The 25,018-nt window shown below is 41.6% G+C and overlaps 1 protein-coding gene and 1 long non-coding RNA gene across 13 annotated transcripts in view, besides 1 other annotated feature; one reads left to right on the forward strand and one right to left on the reverse strand.

Moving 5' to 3' along the window:
• CEP41 (centrosomal protein 41) overlaps window positions 1-18,764 on the reverse strand; it is a 47,971-nt gene extending 29,207 nt beyond the window's left edge. For 5 of the 10 annotated variants that reach the window (NR_046443.2, NM_001257159.2, NM_001257158.2 and 2 more), the window contains exons 1-2: window positions 17,957-18,039; window positions 4,978-5,041 (exon numbers count right to left, since the gene is read on the reverse strand). Coding sequence is in view for 7 of the 10 variants with exons in the window: in NM_001257159.2 (NP_001244088.1) it covers window positions 4,978-5,041; window positions 17,957-17,989 (97 nt within the window). In the remaining 3 variants the exon portion in view is untranslated. Of the gene's footprint in view, window positions 1-3,651; window positions 3,783-4,977; window positions 5,042-17,556; window positions 17,875-17,956; window positions 18,040-18,680 lie in introns of those variants that run through there. The other 5 variants (XM_047421055.1, XM_047421053.1, XM_011516709.4 and 2 more) reach the window with 4 other exon arrangements.
• Window positions 17,725-18,479: an enhancer, noted in NCBI's record as "H3K27ac hESC enhancer chr7:130080543-130081297 (GRCh37/hg19 assembly coordinates)". NCBI's record gives its function as "activates a minimal SCP1, AML or CMV promoter by ChIP-STARR-seq in naive H9 embryonic stem cells {active_cell/tissue: H9 hESC(naive)}" and the evidence as "EXISTENCE:reporter gene assay evidence [ECO:0000049][PMID:30033119]".
• LOC105375505 (uncharacterized) lies at window positions 18,777-20,249 on the forward strand. Of its 3 annotated transcripts, none has more exons than XR_927971.3 (3): window positions 18,777-19,711; window positions 19,793-19,922; window positions 20,126-20,249. It is a non-coding gene; the product is annotated as an uncharacterized LOC105375505 (long non-coding RNA). The 3 variants fall into 3 exon arrangements; XR_927973.3 differs by having other exon boundaries at window positions 19,793-19,912; XR_927972.3 differs by having other exon boundaries at window positions 18,777-19,547.

Here is a 25,018-nt window from a genome sequence, read left to right on the forward strand (position 1 = left end):
GCTCTGTCACCGAGGCTGGAGTGCAGTAGCGCCTTCTTGGCTCACTGCAGCCCCCGCCTCCTGGGTTCAAGCGATTCTCCTGCCTCGGATTCCCAAGTAGCTGGGACTACAGGTGCACGCTGCCATGCCTGGCTAATTTTTTTGTATTTTAGTGGAGACAGGGTTTCACCGTATTGCCCAGGCTAGTCTTGAACTCCTGAGCTAAGGCAATCCACCTGCCTCGGCCTCCCAAAGTGCTGGGATTACAGGTGTGAGCCACTGCGCCCAGCCAAAAGAACTTTTATAACTCAACAAATAAGAAGAAAAATAACCCAACATAAATATGGGCAAATGATTTGAATAGACATTTCTCCATAAGAGATATACAAATACCAAAAAGCACATAAAAAGGTGCTCAAACATTATCAGTCATTAGGAACATGAAAATCAAAGCCATAATAATATACCACTTCATGCCCACAAAGATGGTAATCAAAACGATGAACAATAACAAGCATTGGTGATGATGTGGAGAAAATAGAGCCCTCCTACATTGCTGCTGGGAATGTGAAGTGGTGTGGCTGCTGTGGAAAACAGTTTGGCAGTTCCTCAAAAAATTAGACATACAGTTACCATATGAAAAGCAATTCAAGTCCTAGGTATATGCCCAAGAGAATTAAAAACACATGTTCACACATAAATTTGTACACTGATGTTCTTAGCAGCACTATGTCCAGTAAGTGTAAACAACCCGAATGTCCATCAACTGATGAGTGGGTAAACAAAATGTGGAATAGCTATACAACAGAAGATTATTTGGCAATAAAAAGGAATGAAGAACCGACACATACTACAGCATACATGAATCTTGAAAACATTTCACTAAGTGAAAGAAGCCAGACATAAAAGGCTACATACTGTATGATTGCATCTACACGAAATGTTCAGAATAGCCAAATCCATAGATAGAGAAAGTAGATTAGTGGTTACTCAACATAGTAAATATGTCAATTCTCCCCATGTTGACAAACAGGCTTAATGCAACTCCTATCAAAATCACAGCATTTAAAAAGTAAATGTAAATATGATTATTCTAAAATTCATATGGAAAGGCAAGGGAATTAAAATAGCTAAAATAACTGTATAAAGAAAAAGAAAGGCTGGGCACTGTAGCTCATGCCTGTAATTTCAGCACTTTGGGAGGCCGAGGCAGGTGGATCACTTGAGGTCAGACGTTCATGACCAGCCTGGCCAACATGGTAGAACCTTGTCTCTACCAAAAAATACAAAAATATTAGCCGGGCATGGTGGCGCCCGCCTGTGATCCCAGCTACTTGGGAGGCTGAGGTGGGAGAACTGCTTGAGCCCAGGAAGTGGAGGTTACAGTGAGCCAAGATCACAGCACTGCACTCCAGCCTGGACTACAGAGTAAGACCCTGTCTCAAAAAAAAAAAAAAAGAAAAAGAAAGTGGGCATAGTCAGTTTAACCAATTTTAAGTATCCAATTTACTATACAGCTATAGTAATCAATATTAGGATATTGGCAGAAGGCAGACACATGGATCATGGGATCAGAATAGAGAACCCAGAAATAGACCCACGTAAATATGCCCAACTGATTTTTGACAAGGGTGAACACGTAATTAAATAGAGAAAAGGTAACCTTTTTAACAAATGGCACCAGACCAATTGAATATCCGTAAGCAAAAACTTAGTCTTGATGTGAGTCACATCTCTTATACAAAAATTACCTCAAAGTTTATCATGAACTTATATATAAAACTTTTAGAAAAAAAATCATGGTAGAAAAAAAAATCATTGGGATCGAGGCCAGGCAAAGACTTTTTAGACTAGACAACAAAATAATGATCCATAAAAGGAAAAGCTGATAAAATGGACCTCATCAAAATTAAAAACTTTTGTTCTTCCAAAGACCCTGTTAAGAGGATGAAAAGACAAGTTATGAACTAGGAAAAAATATTTGCAAACCATATATCTGACAAAGGATCAGTAGCTAGAATGTATAAGGAGCTCTCAAAATTCAACAGTAAAAAAGCAAACAAACGAATTAGAACATAGGCAAAAGATATGAACAGGTATTTCACCAAAGAAGGTATACAGAAAACAAACAAGCACATGAAAAGATGTTCACTATTACCACAGGAAAATGCAAATTAAAACTGCAATGGGCTGGGTGCGGTGGCTCATGCCTGTAATCCCAGCCAAGGCGGGTGGATCACTTGAGGCAGGAGTTTGAGACAAGCCTAGCCAACATGACAAAACCCATCTCTACTAAAAATACAAAAATTAGCCAGACATGGTGGTGCGCACCCGTAATTCCAGCTACTTGCAAGGCTAAGGCAGGAGAATCGCTTGAACCTGGGAGGCAGAGGTTGCAGCGAGCCAAGATCATGCCACTGCACTCCAGCCTGGGTGACGGGATAAGACTCTGTCTCAAAAAACAAAACAAACCAAAACAAAACTGCAATGATATATGCCACCACACAGCTATCAGAATGGCCAAAATAAAAGCTGGTGACAACACCAAATGCTGACAAGGATGTGGAGAAAATGAATCATTCATCCATTGCTGGTGGGAATGTAAAATGGTACAGTCACTTTAAAAAACAGTTTGGCATTTTCTTTAAAAACTACATGGGCAACTACATTGTGACCAGCAGTTGTACTCCTGAGCACTTATCCCAGAGAAATGAAGATTTAGGTTCAAACAAAAATATGTGCATAAGTGTTTATAGCACTTATACTTTAATAGCCAAAAAGTGGAAACAACCCCGATGTCCTTCAACAGGTGAATGGTTAAACTTGGTACATTCATATCATGGAATACCAGCCATTAATAAAATGGAACAAATTACTGATATATGCAACAACCTGGATGAATATCTAGAAAATTATGCTAAGTGAAAAAGCCAATCCAAAAGGTTGCATACTGTATGATTCCATTTATACAGCATTTGTGAAATGACAAAATTACAGCAATGTAGAACAGACTGGTGATCGCAGGGGCTAAGGGGTGGGAGTAGAAAGTGGGTGTGGTTATAAAAGGGCAACATAAGGAATCCGTGTGGTGATGGAAACGTTCTGTATCTTGACTGTGTGTATCAAATGTCAATATCACAGTTGTGATAGTGCATTATAGTTTTGCAAAATGTTACCTCTATGGGAAACTGGGTAAAGCGTACATGGAATCTCTCTGCATTATTGTCTACAAAATATATATGTATCTACAATTATGTTAAAATTAAAAGTTTAACAAAAAAGCCAGTTTAAAAATCTCAGGATATAAAAGGACATATGTATTTAATATGTATTGTAAAAAGCAGATATACTTTTATCTCAATATCAAAAAAATGAAATTAATCTTAGGCACCATTATTGAGTCAAATTTTGGTTATGAATTGAGAAATTAAAGAGGAAGAAGGGAGCTGTCCTTCACAAATCCCAGTTTAATTTCCAGGAGGAAAGAAAAAAAAAAAAACAAACTATGAAGGCATAGACAAATCTATATATCTGAAATAAACCTCAGCTCTTAAAGTTTTAATTATAAGAAAGTATACAGATTCCAAAAGAAATTCCTTCCTTTATAGTAGTCTGTAAAATAATATCTAGACTCCTCAGAAAAAATACAGCATTTTAAATCTAGGTGCTTACCTCACAGAATCACTTACTTCAGAAGGGTGGATCACAGTTGCAATTAGGGGTTAGATGGGTAGAGATGAAAGAGCTGAGGGTTTTTGTGGCAGAAGAAACAAGGCTTGGGGGAAATACAGGAACAGTACGGCCTAAGAAACAGTACACCAGACTTGGCACCAGATCTCCAATATTGACTTCCTCATCCTGTATATAATCCTAGTTCTCTCTCCTTTATTGAACTCCGAATAAATCACAAAATCCCCGTGCCACAATTTCCTCTTCTAAGACAGAGATAATATTTTCACCTGCCCATCAAGTGGGATATTTGCAAGGATAAATATCTGTACGGCATGGAAATGTCTGAATGACGGGTACCAAGAAATAGCATCTGCAAATGAGGTGAATTTAAAACACTGAATTTAAGTCTATTTTATATGAAGAAACATGCATAATGGAAGATAATGATTTTTTGAAGGAGACTGGAGAAAGAGAAACAAAATAAACAAAATGATTTAAACAAAGTCAACATCGTCATTTACTTTTCTCAATTGTCTTGAGGTTACTAGTGGGAAATTCGGTATTGCTAAAGGCATACAGTACCCCAATCCACTAGCGAAACCATTTTAATCACGTGAATTTTCCACAGCAGGCTTTAAAAGGTTGAAAAAAAACAAAAACAAACAACCAAAACCTCACAAGACTGAAAATCCACTAGGGTCTGGGCAGCAGTCTTTATCACAACACTGAAAAATGGGAACAGCGTGGAAATAAGCAGTTCATTTTACCTGCACTGCAGCACTAATTAAATTCTGACTGGTATTTCAGTTACTCATTCAAGTCTGTCTGCCTCCGCTTGAATCTAAACTCTTTAACTAAAAAAAAAACACAATTCATACTCAGCTTTACATCTCTCATGGTCCATAACTTGCCATATGGTCAGCACTTTGCAAACACTGCATTGAACAAATATGCATGTGTCTAATCCGTTACTGCCAGTTTAAAGGAATATACTTAAGGTATTCCAAAATAGAGGCTGACCTCCTGATATTTATTTAGCTTCAGCCCTGAAACTTACTGAACAATGGTTTTGATTTCTGGAATTTCATTTTCTCAGTTTATATTATTTCTTATGTGGTAAGGAATAATAAGCTAAATTATGTAAATATGAATTTTTACTGATAATCTGAAAAACATCTTTCAAGGATAAATCCTGAGCCGAGAAAGACATCAGGCAAAACAGTGAGAAACTTTTAGCTGTGATTTATACCAGATATGTGGGGTTGCTTTCTGTCAATAATTAGCTATTAGATTTTTTTTAATTCTAATTTTCTAATCTTTACTCACCAGTGTCCAGTCTTGATTTGATATGCTGGTATCTTGGGTTCTGTGGTATCCTTTTCATCAGATACTAAAAAATAAGGAAATTCACAATTAATTGGGTTAATGTAAGGATAACGATAAGGTAAAGTCAGGAGTCAGATACTTTAAAAATGGAAAAAAAGTGCTAAAATTTCTTAGAAATTAAAGATGGTGCCGGGCATGGTGGCTCACGCCTGTAATCCTAACACTTTAGGAGGCCGAGGTGGGTGGATCACCTAAGGTCAGGAGTTCGAGGTCAGCCTGACCAACATGGTGAAACCCCATCTCTACTAAAAATACAAAAATTAGCCAGGCATGGTGATGGGCGCCTGTAATCCCAGCTACTCGGGAGGCCGAGGCAGGAGAATCGCTTGATCCCGGGAGGCAGAGGCTCCAGCGAGGTGAGGTGAGATTATGCCACTGCACTCCAGCCTGGGTGACAGAGAGAGACTCTGACTCAAAAAAAAAAAAAAAAAAAAAAAAAGATGGAATGAGCTCCAGAGGTCCAATTGTCTTTTCAATATAGGATTCTTTTCAACAGCATTTCCATAGCTGAATATATTTATCTTGTTTCTGTCAGAACACTTCCATATTTCATCAAACTCATCTCAGCACACTACCTGATAAGAAAAAAAAAAAAGCTGCCTAAAAAATTACTTTTTGGCCAGGCTCGGTGGCTCACACCTGTAATCCCAGCACTTTGGGAGGCCGAGGCAGGTGGATCACAAGGTCAGGAGATAGAGACCATTCTGGCCAACATGGTGAAACCCCTTCTCTACTAAAAATACAAAAATTAGCTGGGCATGGTGATGCACACCTATACTCTCGCTACTTGGGAGGCTGAGGCAGAAGAATCACTTGACCCCAGGAGGCGGAGGTTGCGGTGAGCGGAGATCGTGCCACTGCACTCCAGCCTGGGTGACAGAGTGAGACTCTGTCTCAAAAAAATAAATAAATAAATAAATAAATAAATAAATAATTTCTTACATTGAGCCCAAATCAGTCTTTCCAATTTTCATTCAGTCCACTGTTGCAACCCACTGTAAGTCATCTGCCTCTGCCTCAAGAAATCTGTTAAGATGACCAAAGGCAGTTGTCCTGACCCTCTTCCATTTCACTTTCTTTATGATGGTTTCTAGGCCATTTCCTCTGGACACCCCTGAGATTTTATCCATCTCTCCCCTGCAGGGATCCAGCCCTAAGCACAGTGCTCCAGATGTGGGCAGGCCAGGCCCCAGGTGGGCAGGCTCCCGCTGCTCCCCAGAGTCTGTAGCTCCAGGGATGTCGACCATGGCATCTGCTCTCGTGGCAGCTGAGGCTCACCTGGGGCTCAGTTCAAGTTTAGGGTCAGCAAAAATGCATATGTCAGGTCTCCTTTGTGCTGCTGTCTGGTAGTTAACTCTTTGAATCCAAGCATAAGACATTAACCCACATTAAATTAGAGTGGCGATTGTGAAAGCCATTAAGTGAGGAGAAGCTAATGAACAAAGACATTATGAAATAGCACTTTTTGCTCAGGCCTTTTTCTGGCCTGCAGGTATGAAAGTCCTTTCTTCAATAACAGGTAGCTGTGGAACATGAAATTACTGCAATGTCTTCCTGGCTTTATCTTCTGCCACCCTTCCTCATGTTCCCATGTTGAAGTTGCTGGGAATGTCTCCTTAATGCAGCACACTCATTCAGGTTGCCAGTCTTTGCAGATGTCTGCCTAGAATGCCTTTCCTTCACTACTCCTTGGGCAAAATGTATGTCCTCTGTAAAGCTGTCCAGTACAGAACTAGGCACTTTCTTCTCCCTGGCTCCCAGAGTACTCACAGCCCGCTCCATTGTTTAAACCTCAATCTTCTTCCCTAGTCTAGGATTTCCCTGAAGGCAGGGACAATGACTTACTCTGGTTGTATTCGCCTAGGACCTAGTGCATGGTAAGTACACTTATTGATATTCAGTCAATAAGTGAATACCGAAAATGAAGATTGTATTACAGCAACTATCTGGTTCCTCAGAAGAGAACATCGGACTTATAAAAACTGCATCCTTTGCCTTTGAAAACAGTTAACTACAGCATACTCTGTCAGGAAGATTGCAGAATAAACATTTACGTATAAAATAAGGGTTTAAATGACCCACAAAGCATACAAACGATATGGGATACTTTAGTGTCTTACAAAATATCTGTTGGCCAGAGTTTTGGATTTCAGGACCAGGGAGAATTTTTTAAAACTAGAGGCACCTTTTAATATTGCCAAGGACATAAAAAACAAAACCAAAGCAAAAGCCTCACAACAACTATCTGCTATTTTAACATCTAAGGGGAAAAAAAAAATCCCAGAGTGAAAGGGTCAGTCCTTCAGTGTCATTAAAAACCATTCATGACATTGTGATTTTCACTTCACCCCAGGCAAATCACATCTTTATCACCAACTCTTAGCATCGGTCCTCAGATTGTGTTTGGAACCACTGAGCTATTTTATCCTTAGAAAAAGGTTGGAAAGCTTGTTTCTCCAAATGATCAGTAACTTGTCTATGAGAAAGTAACTATAATGCCAATTTCAATTCCTTCCCTAGAGAAAGACAGAGCAGATTCTTTAGTAAAAGAAGGAAAACATACAAAGATTGAAAAGCCAGACTTCAGTATAAATTCTCCAGAGACAGACAATATCATGGCAAAATGAAACAAACAAACAAACAAAAAACAGGGAAAGTATGTGCCTGGTAAATTGAGTCAAGTAACGCTAATACTACATTGCAGTTATCTTGGGCTAAGGGATTTTTTTTCTGCACTCTGTATTTTTTTTATCGTTTCTATACTCTATTTCCTGTTTTTACTTTTGTTTTGTTTTTCCCACTAGTTTCCTAGCAAAGCTTCTTTTAAAAATTCCAGGCTAGTCTCTGCTGAACCAAGGGGATTTGTCCATACCTAAGCCAAAATAGCTAAGAAGTGAGGGTGTCTCTGGGGACCAGGTGTGGTGGCAGCAGAATGATGAGGGGAGAGAGTGTGGACAGCTGCAGTGGCTGAGCCCTTCCCGCCCCCGGTTTTTCCTTACATAGACTAATGAGAAATCCATATGCTGCAAGAGAAAAAAATGTAGTTTCTTTTCTGTGTTCCCATTGCAGTCCAATTTCTTGTTCCTGACTTTCTAGTACCAACCGCAATGTAAAACTATTTGTGCTCCACTGCAAGCCGAGCACCATAGATTTTATGGGACTGACATACTTTTTTTTTATTTAAAATTCTTGCTTTGTGGGGTGACTGCTTTTTGACCTACTGACCAACTGGCTTTCTTTCAATTACATAAACAGGATGGAATGGTGCAAAGTGAAGAAGCTGAAAAAAGAAGCTGTTTTCAAGGAAGACTGTTCATTCCACAAAGACTTATTGAGCACCAACCATTCATTTGGTGGACATTTACTGAGTGCCTACTAGGGGCAAGCCTCTGTGCTGAGGACAGAGAGGTGAGAAACACAGTCTTTGCCATCCAGCTTTCACTGACTGCTGGGAAGACAGACAAGTGGATAAACAGACGCCAGGCTGCATGAGGAACAAGGAAAGGGAAGGAGGGGGTGTGACAAAAGCACATCAGATTGGCACCTAATCCAGGTTAAAAGAGTCAAGAACTGTTTCTTGAAAGGTCACTTCTGAGCTGAATTCTGAGGGTTGAGGAGGTTAGTCAAGCTAAAGGAGTAGTGGGTGAGAGCTACGGGGTTTCTGGCAAGGGAAAAGCATGGAGAAAGAGTGGAGACTAGAGGGAGTACCAACAGTTTTCAGCAATCTAACAGTAACTGGCCGGCCTGGAGCATAGCGGGAAATACGGGGACAAACGATGCTGGAGAGGCAGCAGGGGCAGATCACAAAAAGCCTTGCATACATGTTTAAAAAAACTTGGGTTTCATCCTGTAGATCAGTGGATCTCGAACAGGTACCATTTTGCTCCTTGTACCCCCAAGACATTTGTCAATGTCTAGAGGCATTTTTGGTTGTCCCAACTGGGTGGTAGGAGGTGCTACTGGCATCTTAGTGGGTAGAGGCCAGGGGTGCTGCTAAATACCCTACAATTACAGGACAGCCCCACCACAAAGAATTAGCCAGCCCAAACGCCAATAGTGCCTAGGTTGGTGAAGATGATGAGGGGTCACTGAAGAAGTTTGAAGGAGGAGTGACAAGATTATATTTCTGTCTTAGAAAGGTGACCCTGGCAGCAATATTGGAGAATATGAGTCAAGAAAGGAGGCATGAAAATCAGTTGAAAGGCTATCGTGCTAAGAGGATCTGTAGTCTTAAGGAAGTAAGGAAGTGGTAGTAAAGATGAAGAGGAAGAGACCGTTTCAAGAAATCTTTAAAATGTTAAATCAATATAATTTAAAATTGACTCATGTAGTAACAGGACAGTGATACCATTCTCCAAAAAAGGGAGTTGAGGAAGCACATATTAAAAACATAATATGGTCAGTTGGAGTGTGCTGAGTATGAGATATCTGTGGGTTGTCTAAAATGGAACTATCGGCTGGGCACAGTGGCTCACACCCGTAATCCCATTAATTTGGGAGGCCAAAGTGGGAGGATCGCTTGAGCCCAGCAGTTCAAGACCAGCCTGGGCAACACAGGGAAACTTTGTTTCCACAAAAAAAAAAAAAAAAAAAAAAAAATTAGCTGGGCATGGTGGCATGTGCCTGTGGTCCCAGCTGCTCGAGAGGCTGGGGTGGGAAGATCCCTTGAGCCCAGGTCAAGGCTGCAGTGAGCAATGTTCCTGCCATTGCAATCCAGCCTGTGTGACAGAGTGACACTCTCACTAAAAAAAAACCCAAAAAACGAAATGGAAGTACCTAGTTGGCTACTTGCATCTAGAAATCAGGAGAGAGACCTGGGCTAGAAAAAAACAAGATTTGGGAGTTGTCAGCCTACAGGCAGCAGAGGAAGCCATGGAAATGAACAAAATCATGCTGAGGAGAGTGCAGACTGAAAAACCCCAACATTTAAGGTCAGGTGGAGGAGAGGCACCTGGGATGAAACTCAGAAGAGGCCATACAAAAGTGGGTCATGAAAATTAAATCAGGAAGAAGGGAGTGGCCAACAGTGAACAATGCTGTCAAGTCAGAGAACAAGAGGTCAAGTATGAACAAGTGAACAAGAATGCTGTTCAAGTAAGAGACCAAGAGAAAAGTGAATTTGAATTTAGCACACCAGGACATTGTTGACGGCCCTGGTGGAAGCAGCTATGGGAAACTGATGCGGCAGATGCAAAAAACAGCAGATCAAGTATATGAGAGGCGAAGGAGGAAAGAGGACAGTAGCTGGATGATCTTTTCTTTTTCCCTTAAGAGAGTTGCTAAGGAATAATCTTTGTTGCTGTTATTTTGTTTTGAAAAAAAAAAAAAGGAGAGATTTGAGGATGTATATACAGGCTAATGGGCAAGATAAGAGAGGTTGAAAATGGTATGGAGAGAGTGGGAGAGGATGAGGTCCAGAGCCCAGACAGCAGGGTCAATTTTGGATCTATTTAAGATAAAGATATAAGATAGGTAGGTGGTCAGAATGAAGTTCATCTGGAAGAGGCAGGAAGTTGAGAAAGTTCCTGTTTGTGGTATCATTACAGGCTCTTTGAAAACAACCAAAAATGTCAAAGACCCTTTGAGGGTTTACATAAAAGAAAATGTCCTCCCTGTCTACCCACCACAGCCCAGCTATTTCAATTCTACGTGACTTCCAAGACTCAGGGCAAACTTATCTTCTGGGAAGATTCCTCTGAAGGCCTTAGTCAAATGGAAATCTCTTCCTTGACTGAATATTCACAGTTCTTTGTACCATTCACACGTCTTACTCCTGCACTTGGGACAGGGGCTCTATCTTGTAGATCTCTGTACCTACTACAAGACCCTCTACTAATGAGAGAGCAACAAGTACCTGCCAAATGAAGACCTGAGCAACATGTAGTGTGCATGCTGGTGCCACGTGGGCAGCACGGACATGGAGGGCTCTAGGGAGGAATGTCAAAGGAGATTGTTCATCCACTGGGGGTGATAAGAAAGACTTCATGGAAGAATGGACACTGGAGCTATGTTTTAAGGGTTGATCTTCTGTGGATAAAAAAGATGGGAAGAAGGAATGGAAAAAGTATTCCAAGTGGAGAAATTTTTAATAGCAAAGCCACTTTAAAAGCAAGTTTAAAGAACAAATTGTTCTATTTGCCGGAGATGATTTAACAACAATAAGAAACATGGTAATGCTGCTAACATTTATTGAGTACTTACTATATCATCAGGCACTAAGCATTTTACCTACATTATCTCATTCCCCACAACCACTGTAACCAATATTACATATGCTATGTGAATTACATCTCAAAAAAGCTCTTACAGAAAAAAAATGTAAAAAGTAAATATATTTTTTTTAAAATTGCTTTTTGCTCTACAAAAGACCCTGTGAAGAAGATGAAAAGATAAGCTACAGACTGGGAGGAAATATTTGCAAAGCACATATCTGACAAAGGACTACTATCTCAAATATATAAAGAGCTCTCAAAACTCAAAAGTAAAACTATTCATTGCATCAGTGTTTGTAACTGCAGGTAGTCAAAAACAACCTAAATGACCATGGGGAAACTGATAGGTAAAATGTGCTCTAGTCACATGCTAGATTACTATACAATAGGTAAAGTAATAAACTGGACATATTTATCAACATAGATGGATCTGAAGCATAATTTGCATGATAAAAGCAAATCGTATACAAATAGCATAACACTATTTTTGTAAAATTTTTAAGCTCACAAAATAATGTCTGTTTTATATGAAAAATATGGCTGCTGAATTAGAAAGATATACATTAAATATATGGGAGCAGATGTCTATAGTCAAAGGAGAAGAGTGGGAATAAAAGCAATAAGAACCAAAATTGGCTATAACTGAAGTATACAGATAATCAAATCATATCAGTCCATTTGTACAACTGAGGTCTTACAGAACTAGCAAAACAAAAAAACAAATAAACAAAACTGTGATACAACCACACCAAATACTTAGGTAAGAGTTAAAAGGAAGTCATTACACTGAGGTATATTTTTCTGACATGGAAAGATCTCCAGGATATATTGTTAAGTGAAAAAAATCAAGTCAAAGAACTATATATACAATGTTGTAACATTTATGTAAAACAAAACTACAAAATAAAACTCTTATATTTCTCTCCATCCCCCAATCACACACATGTTCAAATGTACAGAGAAGGTTTGGAAAAGATAACTATGAAAACATAGTACATAGTGATATAAGAAAATGTCCTGAATTATTCATTAAAAGTATAGAATTAAAAATAAAGGAAACAGAAACTCCAGGAAAAAACAAAAAGCAGTAAGAAAGGAAATGTAATCCTACATTTCCTTGTTTTGCAATAATATTTACAGTCATCACCAACAACACAAAAGGAAACAAAAACTCAACAGTTAAGAAAAATAGAAAATAGGCAAAAGACACAAAGAGATATTTTACTGAAGAGGATATATGGATGACAGATAAGCACATGAAAAGATGTGCTTGGTATCCATTAAGGAAATGCAACTTAAAACCACAATGAGATGGCACTACACATCTATTATAAACATTAAAATAAAAAATATTGACAGTGTTGAACGTTGCCAAGAGTATGCAAAAACTGAATCTCTCATACACCCTTGGCAGGAATGTAAAATGGTACAGCCTCTCTGGAAAAGTTTGGCAGTATCTAATAAAACTAAACATATGTTTACCATACAACCCAGCAATTGTACTCCTGGGCGTTTATCCCAGATAAATGAAAATTAACATCCACACAAAGAGTTATACCCAAATGTCATCTTTATTTGTAATAGCCCAAAACTGATGACAACCAAAATGTCCTATACTAGTTGAATGGTTAAAAAACTGCTGTACAGGCCAGGCACAGTAGCTCACGCTTGTAATCCCAGCACTTTGGGAGGCCGAGGCTGGTGGATCATTAGGTCAGGAGTTCAAGACCAGCCTGGCCAAGATGGTGAAATGTTGTCTCTACTAAAAATACAAAAAATTGGCCGGGCACAGTGGTAGGAAGCTGTAATCCCAGCTACTCAGGAGGCTGAGGCAGGAGAATCACTTGAACCCAGGCAGCAGAGGTTGCAGTGAGCTGAGATGGTGCCGCTGCACTCCAGCCTGGGTGATAGAGTGAGACTCCGTCTCAAAAAACAAAACAAAACAAAACAAAAAAACTGCTGTACATTCATACCACAGAATACTGATCAGGTACCAGAAAGAATGAACTACTGCTACATGCAACAACTTGTATGCGACTCAAGGACATTATCTTGAGTGAAAAAAAAAAAAGCCAATCTCAAAAGGTCACATACTGTATGATTCCATTTATGTAAAATTGTCAAAATGACAAAATTATGGAGATGGTTACCCAGGGTTAGGATGATGAGAGGGAAGAAAGTAGGTGTGACCAGAAGAGTAGCTTGGAGATATTTCTAGTGATGCAATAGTTCTTTATCTTGATTGCAAATCTACATATATGTAAATCTTGATTAAATCTATACAAGTGATAAAATGGCCTAGAACTATACATACATTGTGCAAATTTCTATTTTCTAGTTTGATACTGTACTGTACTCATGTAAAATATAATCATTGGGGAAAATGGGTGAAGGATACATAGGACTTCTTTGTACTATTTTTTTTTTTTTTGCAACTTCCTGTGAATCTATACTTATTTTGAAATAAAACGTTTTTTAAAAGTACAACAGAGCAAAAAACAGAGCTCTTAAAAATTAAAAACATGGGCTGGGCACAGTGGCTCACACCTGTAATCCCATCACTTTGGAAGGCCAAGGCAGCAGGTGGATGGCTTGAAGTCAGGAGTTCAAGACCAGCCTGACCAACATGGTAAAACCCCGTCTCTACTAAAAATACAAAAAAATTAGCTGGGCGTGGTGGCAGGTGCCTGTAATCCCAGCTACTTGGGAAGCTGAGGCAGGAGAATCGCTTGAACCTGGGAGGCGGAGGTTGTAGTGAGCCGAAATCGCACCACTGCACTCCAGCCTGGGCAACAGAGTGAGAGTTTATCTCAAAACAAACAAACAAACAAATTAAAAACATGATGGCAGAAATTAAAAACTAAAATGAAGGATTGGAAGATAAAAATTAAATCTCCCAAAGGGAGCAGAAAGACAAAGATGAGGGAAACAGGAGATGAAAGTTACGAAAATCAGAGAACCAGTCATATAGGTTATCTATATGAATACAGAACATCAGAATAATGAATTCAAGAAAAAGAGGATGGAGAAAATAGGAGAGAGAAAGTTAAGAAAATTTTCAGACTAAAAAGACATAAATTTCTGGTGCCTATCAAAATGAGTGAAAATATAAATATCTTTGTAAAGTCACACTGGGGACAAAAAAAAAAGGTTCCACAAGCTTCCTGAGAGGAAAATTCAGTCACAAAGCAAGAGAATGGCTTTGGACTTCACAACAACACAAGACACTAGACCACTAAGCAATGTTTTGCAAGATGCTGATGATGGCCAGGTGTGGTGGCTCACACCTGTAATCCTAGCACTTTGGGAGCCCAAGGCAGGATTGCTTGAGCCCAGGAGTTCAAGACCCTCTTGGGCAACATAGGGAGACCCCATCTCTATAAAAAATACAAAAAAATGAGCTGGGCACGATGACACACACCTGTGGTCCCAGCTACTCAGGAAGTGGGAGAATCATTTGAGCCCAGGAGGTCAAGGATATAGTGAGCCATGTTTGTACCACTGCACTCCAGCCTGGGTGACAAAGCAAGACTGTCTCAAAAAAAAAAAAAAAAAAAAAAAAGAAAAAGAAAAAAAAAGATGTTGATGATTTTCAACCAATAATTCTATACTCAGCCAAACTCACTGGCAAATAAATGTTAAGGTAGAATAAGAATATTTTTAGACATGCCTAACATTTTAGACATAAATTTTTAAAACTATTTCTTATGAATTCTTTCTTAAGAAACTACTAGAAGTTGTGCTCTATTCAAACAAGAGAGTAAACTGGGCATCTTTGTCTCGGGCACAAACATAACCACACGGAACATACTTGCTCCTCTTCCCCCACACTCCTAAAACTATTCCTCCTTTTCGTTCTCCCATATTCTTGATCTCACTCATGGCGCCAGCACCAATGAGTAGTCTAAGCTGAGACTTAAGTCACCCATCACGCATCTCTCAAAGCTAATCAGGAAGTATTGATGATTTTGCCCCCGTAAATATTTATCCTCGATTCCATCCCTAGTTCAATGGCCTTAGTTTAGATCTCTATCAAAATAGTAACTATTGGCAGGGCGCGGTGGCTCATGCCTGTAATACCAGCACTTTGGGAGGCCAAGGCAGGCGGGTGGCTTTGAGCTCAAAAGTTTGAGACCAGACTGGGCAACATGGTAAAACCGCATCTTTACAAAATCCACAAAAACCAGCCAGGCTTTGTTGGTGTGCGCCATAGTCTCAGCTACCCAGGAAGCTGAGGCTGGATAATTGCTTGAGCCCGGGAGGTGGAGGTTGCAGTGAGCTGAAATCTCCCCACTGCACTCCAGCCTGGGTGACAGAGTGAGACTCTGTCTCAAAAATAAATAAATAAATAAAAAATAGTAACCACTTAACCAATCTCATTTCCAGTCCTGGAGCCTCCTCAAACCCATCTTCCACAATGTAGCTACAGCCATCTGCCTAAAATGCAAATCTGACCATGTCACTCCTTTAATAACTCAAAAAATTTCTCAAATCCTGACCAGCAGACAAGATAAATATGTGGCAAACTGCCATTCTCCTCACCTATCTCTCCCACCCCCATGATACACAATATTAACATTTTTATTAATATTTTGATAGACAAATCATAACTTTATACATTTATGGGGTACAATTTGATGTTTTGGTATATACACACACACACAATGTGGAATGATTAAATCAAATTAACATATCCATCAACCCACTTATCTTTTTTTTGAGGTGAGATATTTGAAATTTACTCTCATAAAATATACAATTTACTCTATTTTGAAATCTACAATATAGTTGAACTTTGGACAACATGGGCTTGAACTGTGCAGATCCACTTATACCCAGATTTTCTTCTGCCTCTGTCACCCCTAAGGCAGCAAGACCAACCCCTCCTTTTCCTTGCCCCTTAGCAATGAAGACAATTAGGATGAAGATGTTTATGATGATACACTGCCACTTAATGAATAGTAAATATATTTTCTCTTCCTTATGATTTTCTTAATAATAATCTTTCCTCCAGCTTACTTTAAGAATTCAGTACATAATACATATGAGATACAAAATATGTTAATCAAGTGTTTCTGTTATCAGGAAGCCTTCCAGTCAATAGTAGGCTATTAGTAGTTAAGTTTTTTTGCAGGGGGGAGGGGAGTAAAAAGTTGTACATGGATTTTCTACTGGGGGTTATGAGTCTGCTGTAATTATTATTAACTATAGTCACCATGCTGTGCCAGAGATCTCAAAAACCATTCCTCCTGTTTAACTGTAACTTTGTGCCCTTGGATCAACATCTTCCCATTTCTGCCCTCCTTCCCCCCACCCTCCAGGCTCTGGTAACCACCATTTTATTCTCTACTTCTATGAGCTGGACTTTTTAAGATGCCACGTATAAGTGAGATCATGCAGCATTTAGACATTACCAATTGACCATGGCTCTCTTGCAGGGCTTAGACTCAGCCTTACAGCTTTCTCAGCCTAGTACCAGGCAGCCACCAAGAGATGAAACAGTTACAACTCCTATTTGGGATAAAGGCTAAGAACCTCAGCAAGGCAGAGAAAGCCTGGACTCCTACAGGGGCCTGTTCTGAGTTCACACACTCCTTACCTTCACTTGGGCTGTTCTACCCGGGATGATGCTTCACCTGGCTAATGAATGGCCTTGCCACCCCTTCCATCTCCACAACCCTTCTCTCACTCCCTCAGTTGAGTACTACCTATTTTCTCGTAACATCTTGCTCCCCGACCACACTGTACTCAAATTCTGTTCACAGGCTCCTTCACTAGACGCAATTTATTTATTGTTTATTTTTATTTTTTTGAGACAGAGTCGCTCTTATCACCCAGGCTGGAGTGCAATGGCACGATCTCGGCTCACTGGAACCTCCATCTCCTGGGTTCAAGCGATTCTCCTGCCTCAGCCTACCGAGTAGCTGGGATTACAGGCGCCTCACCACCACGCCCGGCTAATTTTTGTATTTTTAGTAGAGACGGGGTTTCGCCATGTTGGCCAGGCTGGTCTCAAACTTCTGACTTCGTGATCCGCCCGCCTCGGCCTCCCAAAGTGCTGGGATTACAGGCTGAGCCACCGCGCCTGGTCCACTATACGCAATTTATTAAAGGGCAGAGGCCTTGTCTTCTTTGTACGTCTAGCACCTACTGCACCGTGGAAGTTTCCAATAACGTTTGTTGAAACTGCCACAAATGCAGCAGGGGACTAGCGGTGAAACAGATGAAGAAACTGAAGGGTCCTATGGAGAGAGGGGTAAGCCTAATGTCCTATTTTGCCCGTTTTCCAAAGGTTTGGTCAGCTTACTCCTGCTCTTCCTGTATCCCCACAATCAGAGATGCTGGCTGGCTTTCAACACGTGCCATTAGTGTGCAGCGCTTCCTTTGTCTTTTCTGTTTTGTAACTGTCACTCCGAGACTGTAAGCCATTTGAGGGCAAGGGCTGTGTCTTTGGGTACTTCGCTCCTCGCAGTCACAAGTACTGGCGTGCGTACGCGGGGAGAGATCGCTCCTCAAAACGGGGTCCTGAACGCTGCCCCGCGGCCCCCAAGCCCGGCCCGCCCCGCCCCTGCATCCCGACCCCTCCTCACGCCGGCCCCTTCCCGCCTTCCGGGCGGCGGAAGTCGCTGGCTGCTCTTCCCTGCCCACATGAGCCTTTTCCGGTGCGCCCGCCCCCTCCGGCTCTCCGGCCGAGACCTGGCCCTCACCTCAGGGTTCCCAATGTGCCTCCGGAGGGACATATTTTCTCCAACCGACCACGTTCGGGGTTCTAGCCTCACGGGTTGCCTCTAACCCTAGCTTCCTACCCCCACAACCTTGTTCAGCCGCCTCCCTATACCCTCTTCTCCGATTGGCCCGTCTTCCCCGGCCGGCCAATGGGGGCCCCGTTTACTCTCTCATCTCAGGGTCGCAGAAGGGCAAGACGCCGCTCAATGGTTGCCAAGGGCAACGCGGGACGCCGGCTAGCGAGGCCTTTTGTTCTCTGGGCTGGGGCTCGCCGGCTCCAGCCTTAGGGCGGGAAGAGAGGCGCGGGGGGAGGGGAAGGCTGGCGCCTGCGCAAAGCCGGGGGCGGGGGCAGTGGCTTGAGAGCCGGGACAAAACACGAGTTTTAGCTAATGTGGAACCATAAATACAACACAAGACTCCCCATCCCCCAGCTCCGTTTTATGGCCGTTTCAACCAAACATCTGGGCTACTGATTCCACAACAGGGAATATTATATGGGCCAGGGTTGTTCAGCAGAAATGGGAGAGTATGGTTTATTATTTTCTGGTTAAGTTAATATGCGAATTATGCAAAATACATGGGTAAATACAGTAATTATCGGTGCTTTAAAAGCTTTTAGGCTAGCTATAGAGCGACATCCTTAATTGCAAAGCACACGCGCTATTCTGTGGTTCATCGTTCATTTAACAAATACTTAATAAGCACCTTATGAGAAAAGCTGCAGTAGGTCTTGTGGAGAATGGGAGGATGACTAGGACCCAATCCCGTCGTCATGGAAACCATTGTGACTCCTGCCACCAGCCACCACCTGTTCCCATTCCGGATCTGAAAATGAAGTCCTAGCACCTTTACAAAACAATTACACACACAGTTTGACTTGGCTCCTAAATGTCCCACCAAATCCATCAAAATTATTATTTCCTTTTACATGAAAGGAACAACACAGTAACCCTTTGTCCTTTGCTCTAAGTTGTTTTTCCAGGAATGGAGAAAGGTTACTCTGAGCAGTTCATACTCGCCAGTTGTCTGTTAGTGAATAATAGCACACATTTGAGCTACTTCAGGGTCTGTGAGATGACCCATTCAACAACATGGCCTCACATGCCCTTGTTCTCTTAGGCACTTCAGCAACCCAACCTTAGGGCTACACCTTGGATCATGTTGCCAGTCAGTGCTGCTTGACCAGAATTTTGAATTCTGGCCACAGCTGCTTCTTGGACTTTTCATGTCACTCTTTCATGTTTATTAAGTTTTGTCTTAATTTCCATAATCTTTGCCAGTTCTTTAACCCCTCTAAAATTCTCAGTCTCTCACTCCTCTGCTAAGGAAGGGTTTGAAGGCTGCAAAAAATTGGAAGGAGGCAGAGGGAAGAATGTTAATCTAGAAGCTTTTGCATAGCAAGCAGAAACTTCTAGATTCATTAGTATTTAGAATGTATGCTTACCTGGTGCACCTTGTGGGTAACCATAGAGATTATGGATAGAATAACGGGAAAGGAGAGAGGGAGATGATAGGGGACTACACTCAGAGGTGGTGAGAAAGACAGAAAAGGAGAGATTTAAAGACGTGTAGGTAAAATCAATAGTATACATGAGAAGAGGTAAGGGGTGCAAGGAATAGAAATTCATCAAAGATGGCTATAGTTTCTCTAACTTGAGGAACTGAGTAGATGGGCGATAATGCATTAATCAAGTTAAAGAACAACAGTCAAAAAGCCAAAACAGCAGAAAGTACAAGTAGGTCCAACAGTCCATTCAACTTCCATTCTTCAGTGTTTTGGCTCACTTCTTTGTACGGTTGTCTCTCTTTTGTTCCAGAGAACATCTGGTTTACTTGCCTCACTAGTCATCGTGGTTGTCACATTTGGACTGCACAGGAAGCATTATAGAGAGATTATAGAACCCGGCTGGTTCTTGGATCCAACTGACTGTGTGTCTGTGTGTCTGGGTGGGGTAATTTAAATACATGTTCCCTCCCCAATCCCTCAATTCTGATTCTGGCCGGCGGGTGGGGAGCGGGGGGTGTTGTGGTCCAAGGAGACTCTCCTTTAAAAGAGTCACCCCTTTCCTTCACATTTGGCCTCAATGGAATCCTTGGAAAGCTTAAAGCTATAAACCAAAAGACTTTTAACATCATGTATTTCTCTTTAGGATTCCTTTTGGATCCTGCTATGCCAAAACTGGATCAAAACGAACGCCAAGTGCTTACTTTGAAAAAATAGGCAAATGGTGGTGGCAATGGCTCACGCCTGTAATTCCAGCACTTTGAGAGACCAAGGCAGGAGGATAACTTCAGGCCAAAAATTCAAGACCAGCCTGGGCAACACAGTGAGACCGTGTCTCTATTTGTAAAAAATAGGCAAATGGTACAAAATGATAACTGATAAAAGAAAAACATCCAATAAACATATCAAAAAAACACAGAGCACCGGGCGCGGTGGCTCACCCCTGTAATCCCAGCACTTTGGGAGGCTGGCGGATCACGAGGTCAGGAGATTGAGATCATCCTGGCTAACACGGTGAAACCCCGTCTCTACTAAAAATACAAAAAATTAACGAGGCGCGGTGGCGGGTGCCTGTAGTCCCAGTTATCCGGGAGGCTGAGGCAGGAGAATGGCGTGAACCCAGGAGGCGGAGCTTGCAGTGAGCCGAGATCACACCACTGCACTCCAGCCTGGACGACAGAGCGAGACTCCGTTTCAAAAAAAAAAAAAAAAAAATACAGAGCAAGATAACTAGATCCCATTTTTCAACTATCAAATGTACAAAAGTTTTTTTCTTTAACAATAATGCTTAGTGCTGGCTAATGATTCATGAAACAACATGATCACATATTGTTAGTGCGAATATAAAGGAGCATGATCATTTTGAAGAATAATTTGAGAGTAGGTATTGAGAAGTCCTCAAATCTTAATATGCTAAGAATTCCTCCTAAGGAAATAATTGGACAAATGTACAGACATTACATCCATAGATGTTTACTGGAAGTATATTTAAAATGATAAAAATTGAAACAATCTAATTGATCATCAATTTAAAAATGATTAAAATAAATGCTGGCATATCTATACAAAGTAATCTTATGGAATCATTTAAAAGTATGTTTCAAGGCATAATTAAGGCAGTGGAGAACTGTTCCTGATACAGTAGATGAAAAGAGCAAGAAACAACTTTTTATTTAATATAATCCTGATTTGCATGGAGAAAAATACAGGTATCTGCAGAGAAAAATTGAAAGCAAAATCAAAAATATAAACCATCTTTGGATTATGGAATGTGGATATTTGTTTTATTCTTTATACTTTTATGTATTTCACAAATTTTCTTCATTGACTGTGAATTAATTTTATAATTTAAAAATTACATTCTCCCTCTAAGAAACAAAAAACCTGATGTTGACTTCAGCCTGGAAACTGTCTATGGCTTTTGTGTGGGCTGATTTAGACTGAAGCTGAATTCTGAGTAATTCCTCTATCTGAAGTGCCGCAGTTCTTGGCAGTAAAAGACTCTCCAGGCACTTTAGTAAGAGTCTTGCAATCAAAGTCGTGATTGCTAAGAGGTTCAAGCTTTGTTTGTAAGAGAAGAAATTCTGATTCTTTTCTTTAAAAGTTCCTACTTCCACTGATTAATCTTATTTTTCTCAAAGTTAGAAGTGCTCTTGCGAACTTCCATTTGTTTGATGTCTTCTTTTTAACCCTCTATGTGTTCCAAAAAGCTTTTATTCTCTGCAGAGCTGGTAGAAGCTCTAGATAGCTAAGTGTGGCTGGTTTAGGGCTATTTTGTGTTTTAGGTGCTCGTTTCCCTTCCCCTGGAACTAAATGGGCATTTTGGTGTCCAGCAGGCTGGCCCTCTCTTGAACCGAAAGCCCTCTGGACCTTCTCCCATTCTGAATCCCTCTCTTCCAACCTCACAACCCCCAAAGAACTCTCCACTCCCACCCTCAGCGCTCAAGCCTGATCTCCTAACTGCAGCCCAACACCCTCCCCTCAGACCTGTCTCATGATGTTACTTCTCTGATGTGGGCCTTGGCTCCTTCCCTTGGCTTCATTTACCCTCATTCCCTAAATGACATGCAATTCCAGATGCTTCTGGAACAATTCTGCCTAATCCAGTCCAGACCCGGGGTCCTTCCCCTGGCCTCCAGAAATGGAACTACACCTGAGGCAGTGAACCCACAGATCTGCAGGTCCCACTCTGCAATGAAGTCCCTGCAATTGTGGTAGCAATTTGATTTCATTCCACCTAGTGGCAGAATGTGTCCGAGGGAGGGACATACCAGCCTCTGAGTGGAGGCCTGGCCCTTGCCTGCCTCCAGCTTAGGCTAGAGTTGAAGTACTTGGCCTGAGCCCAAAGGGCTCAACCATCCCTATGGCCCCTTGCAGAGGAATAATAACTACCTCCCAGAATTTCTTTGGGACCATCACAGGCTGTGTTACTTTCTGATGAAACGAGGAAATTGGCATCCTGGTTGCTTGATGGGGTTGGCATTCTCACCTAGGCAGTTCTGGAGCCACCTCTGTGGGCCACATGGAACTCCTGGCTGTGGCAGAAGAGATGCATGATGGCCCTTCCAGCAAGATTCAAGACCTCTTTTACCATCTGTGAGCAAACCCAGTGCATTTGGTTGTCACATGCCATGATCTGGTTTCTGGCGTGGGATTTGCATAGAACAATGCTCTGCCACAGACTTAGTTCCAAGGGGGCTCTTGAACTGACCTGGGTCTCAGAACGGTCTGCCCCCAGGGGATGAAGGAGGAATCAGTGTTGAGAGGTACCTGTCTCGCTCTGGCACAATGGACAACTGGCGAGCCTGTGCCCTGCGAAGAGGCCAGTAAATGTGGATCAACTGTGTCAGATATTCACATTTCTTAAAATAATCCAGAAACCTAGGTTTTCATGTGAAACCTATGGGCCATTAACTTGTAGTCCCTATGCTAGATGCTGCAAATGTAATTCCTGTCCTTCCTGGTTCTTAAATAATCCATATCATACCCATAGTAAAAACAAAAACAAAAACCATATTAATGGAGTTCTGCTTTGATTTAGGATGTAAAAAGTTGCAAGGGAACATCACTCCTATCCTAAAATAAGAAAAATGAATAGCCTACAAAATCATAAGTTTCCTTTTTTTTTTTTGAAACAGAGTCTTGCTCTGTCACCCAGACTGGAGAGTACAGTGGCATGATCTTAGCTTACTGCGATCTCTGCCTCCCAGGTTCAAGTGATTCTCCTGCCTCAGCCTCCCAAGTAGCTGGGACTACAGGTGCCCACCACCATGCCTGGCTATTTTTTGTATTTTTAGTAGAGATGGGGTTTCGTCAAGTTGGTCAGGCTGGTCTCAAACTCCTGACCTCAGGCGATCCACCTGCTTCAGCCTCCTAAAATGCTGAGATTACAGGCCTGAGCCACTGCACCCAGCCAAAATCATAAGTTTTCTTGTATTCTTCAGAGAGTTGAGATCACAAAGCAACCACATAATGTAATTCCAAAAGTAACAAGCCCCACTGAGAACAGAAGAGATACACAAACAGTTTCACATTTGGCAGAGCACTAGGGGAAAAGGTAACCATCATAGAAGTGGGGAAGAAGAAATCAGCTCAAATTTTCACTAATCCTAAAGGCTGAGTTTGGGCTAGTGGATCAGGTTAGAATGACTGGAAGCCTGTGACAGCTAATTTTATGTGTCAGCTTGGCTAGGCCGTGGTACCCATGTATCTGATCAAACACTATTCTAGATATTTCTGTGAAGGTATTTCAAAAGACGAGATAACATTTAACTCAGTTGATTTTGAGTAAAGCAGATTACCCTCTATATGTGGGTGGGCCTCATGAAATCAGTAGAAGTCCTCAGGAGAAAAGAGACTGATCTCCTCCAAGGAAGAGGGAGTTCTGCCAGCAGACCGCCTTTGAACCCTTCCCTGGTTCTCCAGCCTGCCAGACTACCTACCCTGCAGATTTTGGACTTGTCAGCCTCTATAATTGTGTGAGCCAATGAACCAGTTCTTTGAAATAAATCTTCCTCTCTGCATACACACACACACACACACACACACACACACACACACGCACTTACCCTATTGTTTCTGTGTTTCTGTTTCTCTGGAGAACCCTAATACAGAGCCCCAGACACAAGGGGAATTTATGTTTACTTGTTGCAGTGTCTTCTCCAGCAGTGTCCACTGAGTGCTCAAAAGAAAGATGGGGGCGAGATAGGAGACCAGAGAGAGTCCCCCTTGGTGGTGTACATTTGCAGGACGTGACTTGCTGCTGCTTCTGAAGACAGTCACAAACCACCACCCATATTCTATGACCCTTCTCTTATTAAAGGGCTTTAAGGGAGGGGCAGCAGCCTCCCAGGATCACCAGGGGAGGGGTAGAAGCTAAACTTGGGAAAGGAAAAGAAATCATCCTTTGTGCTCTCATGATATCAGTAAATATCTAATGCTTCAGTGGGAGGGCAGAAGTAAAAGCTATTTGCTTCTGGGGTGGGGGTGGGAGGGTCAAAAAAACCTCTTGGGTCCAAGAACCTGAACCAATATAAAGTAGAGATAGACTACCTATGGGAGAGATACAGGTAAAAGTCTTCTGCCCAAGGTCCACCAAAGATACAAGGCAGAGTTTGGCTACCGTGGGGCAGGTGAGGGGAGGAGGATAGGAATTTGAGAAGGTCCCATCCCCCAAGCCCAGGTGCGTAGGCCTTGCCTAAGACTAAGGCTGGACTAGGAGATACAAGAATCACTACCTGGCTAAGCAACAACCCTGGCAACAAGTAGCAAGCAACAAGAGTCTATTGCTGAAGTGGAGGCAATACTATGGAGAGAAAACCCCACTCAACAGTACAGGTATGCAGGTACTGCTGAAAGCTGATGACAGAACAGGAATACTGAGAAAAACTCTCCACTCACCACACTAAGCACAAGATAATGGCACTTTCTGGTGCACTAAGGTTAGTGATAGCAAAAACATAACTCAGTCATAGCTCAACTGCTAACTAGATTAACTCAACCCTCCACAATACTAACTTAACAAAAGAAAGAGCATGGC

Source organism: Homo sapiens, chromosome 7 (assembly GCF_000001405.40).
Source record: "Homo sapiens chromosome 7, GRCh38.p14 Primary Assembly".
Lineage (NCBI taxonomy): Eukaryota > Metazoa > Chordata > Mammalia > Primates > Hominidae > Homo > Homo sapiens.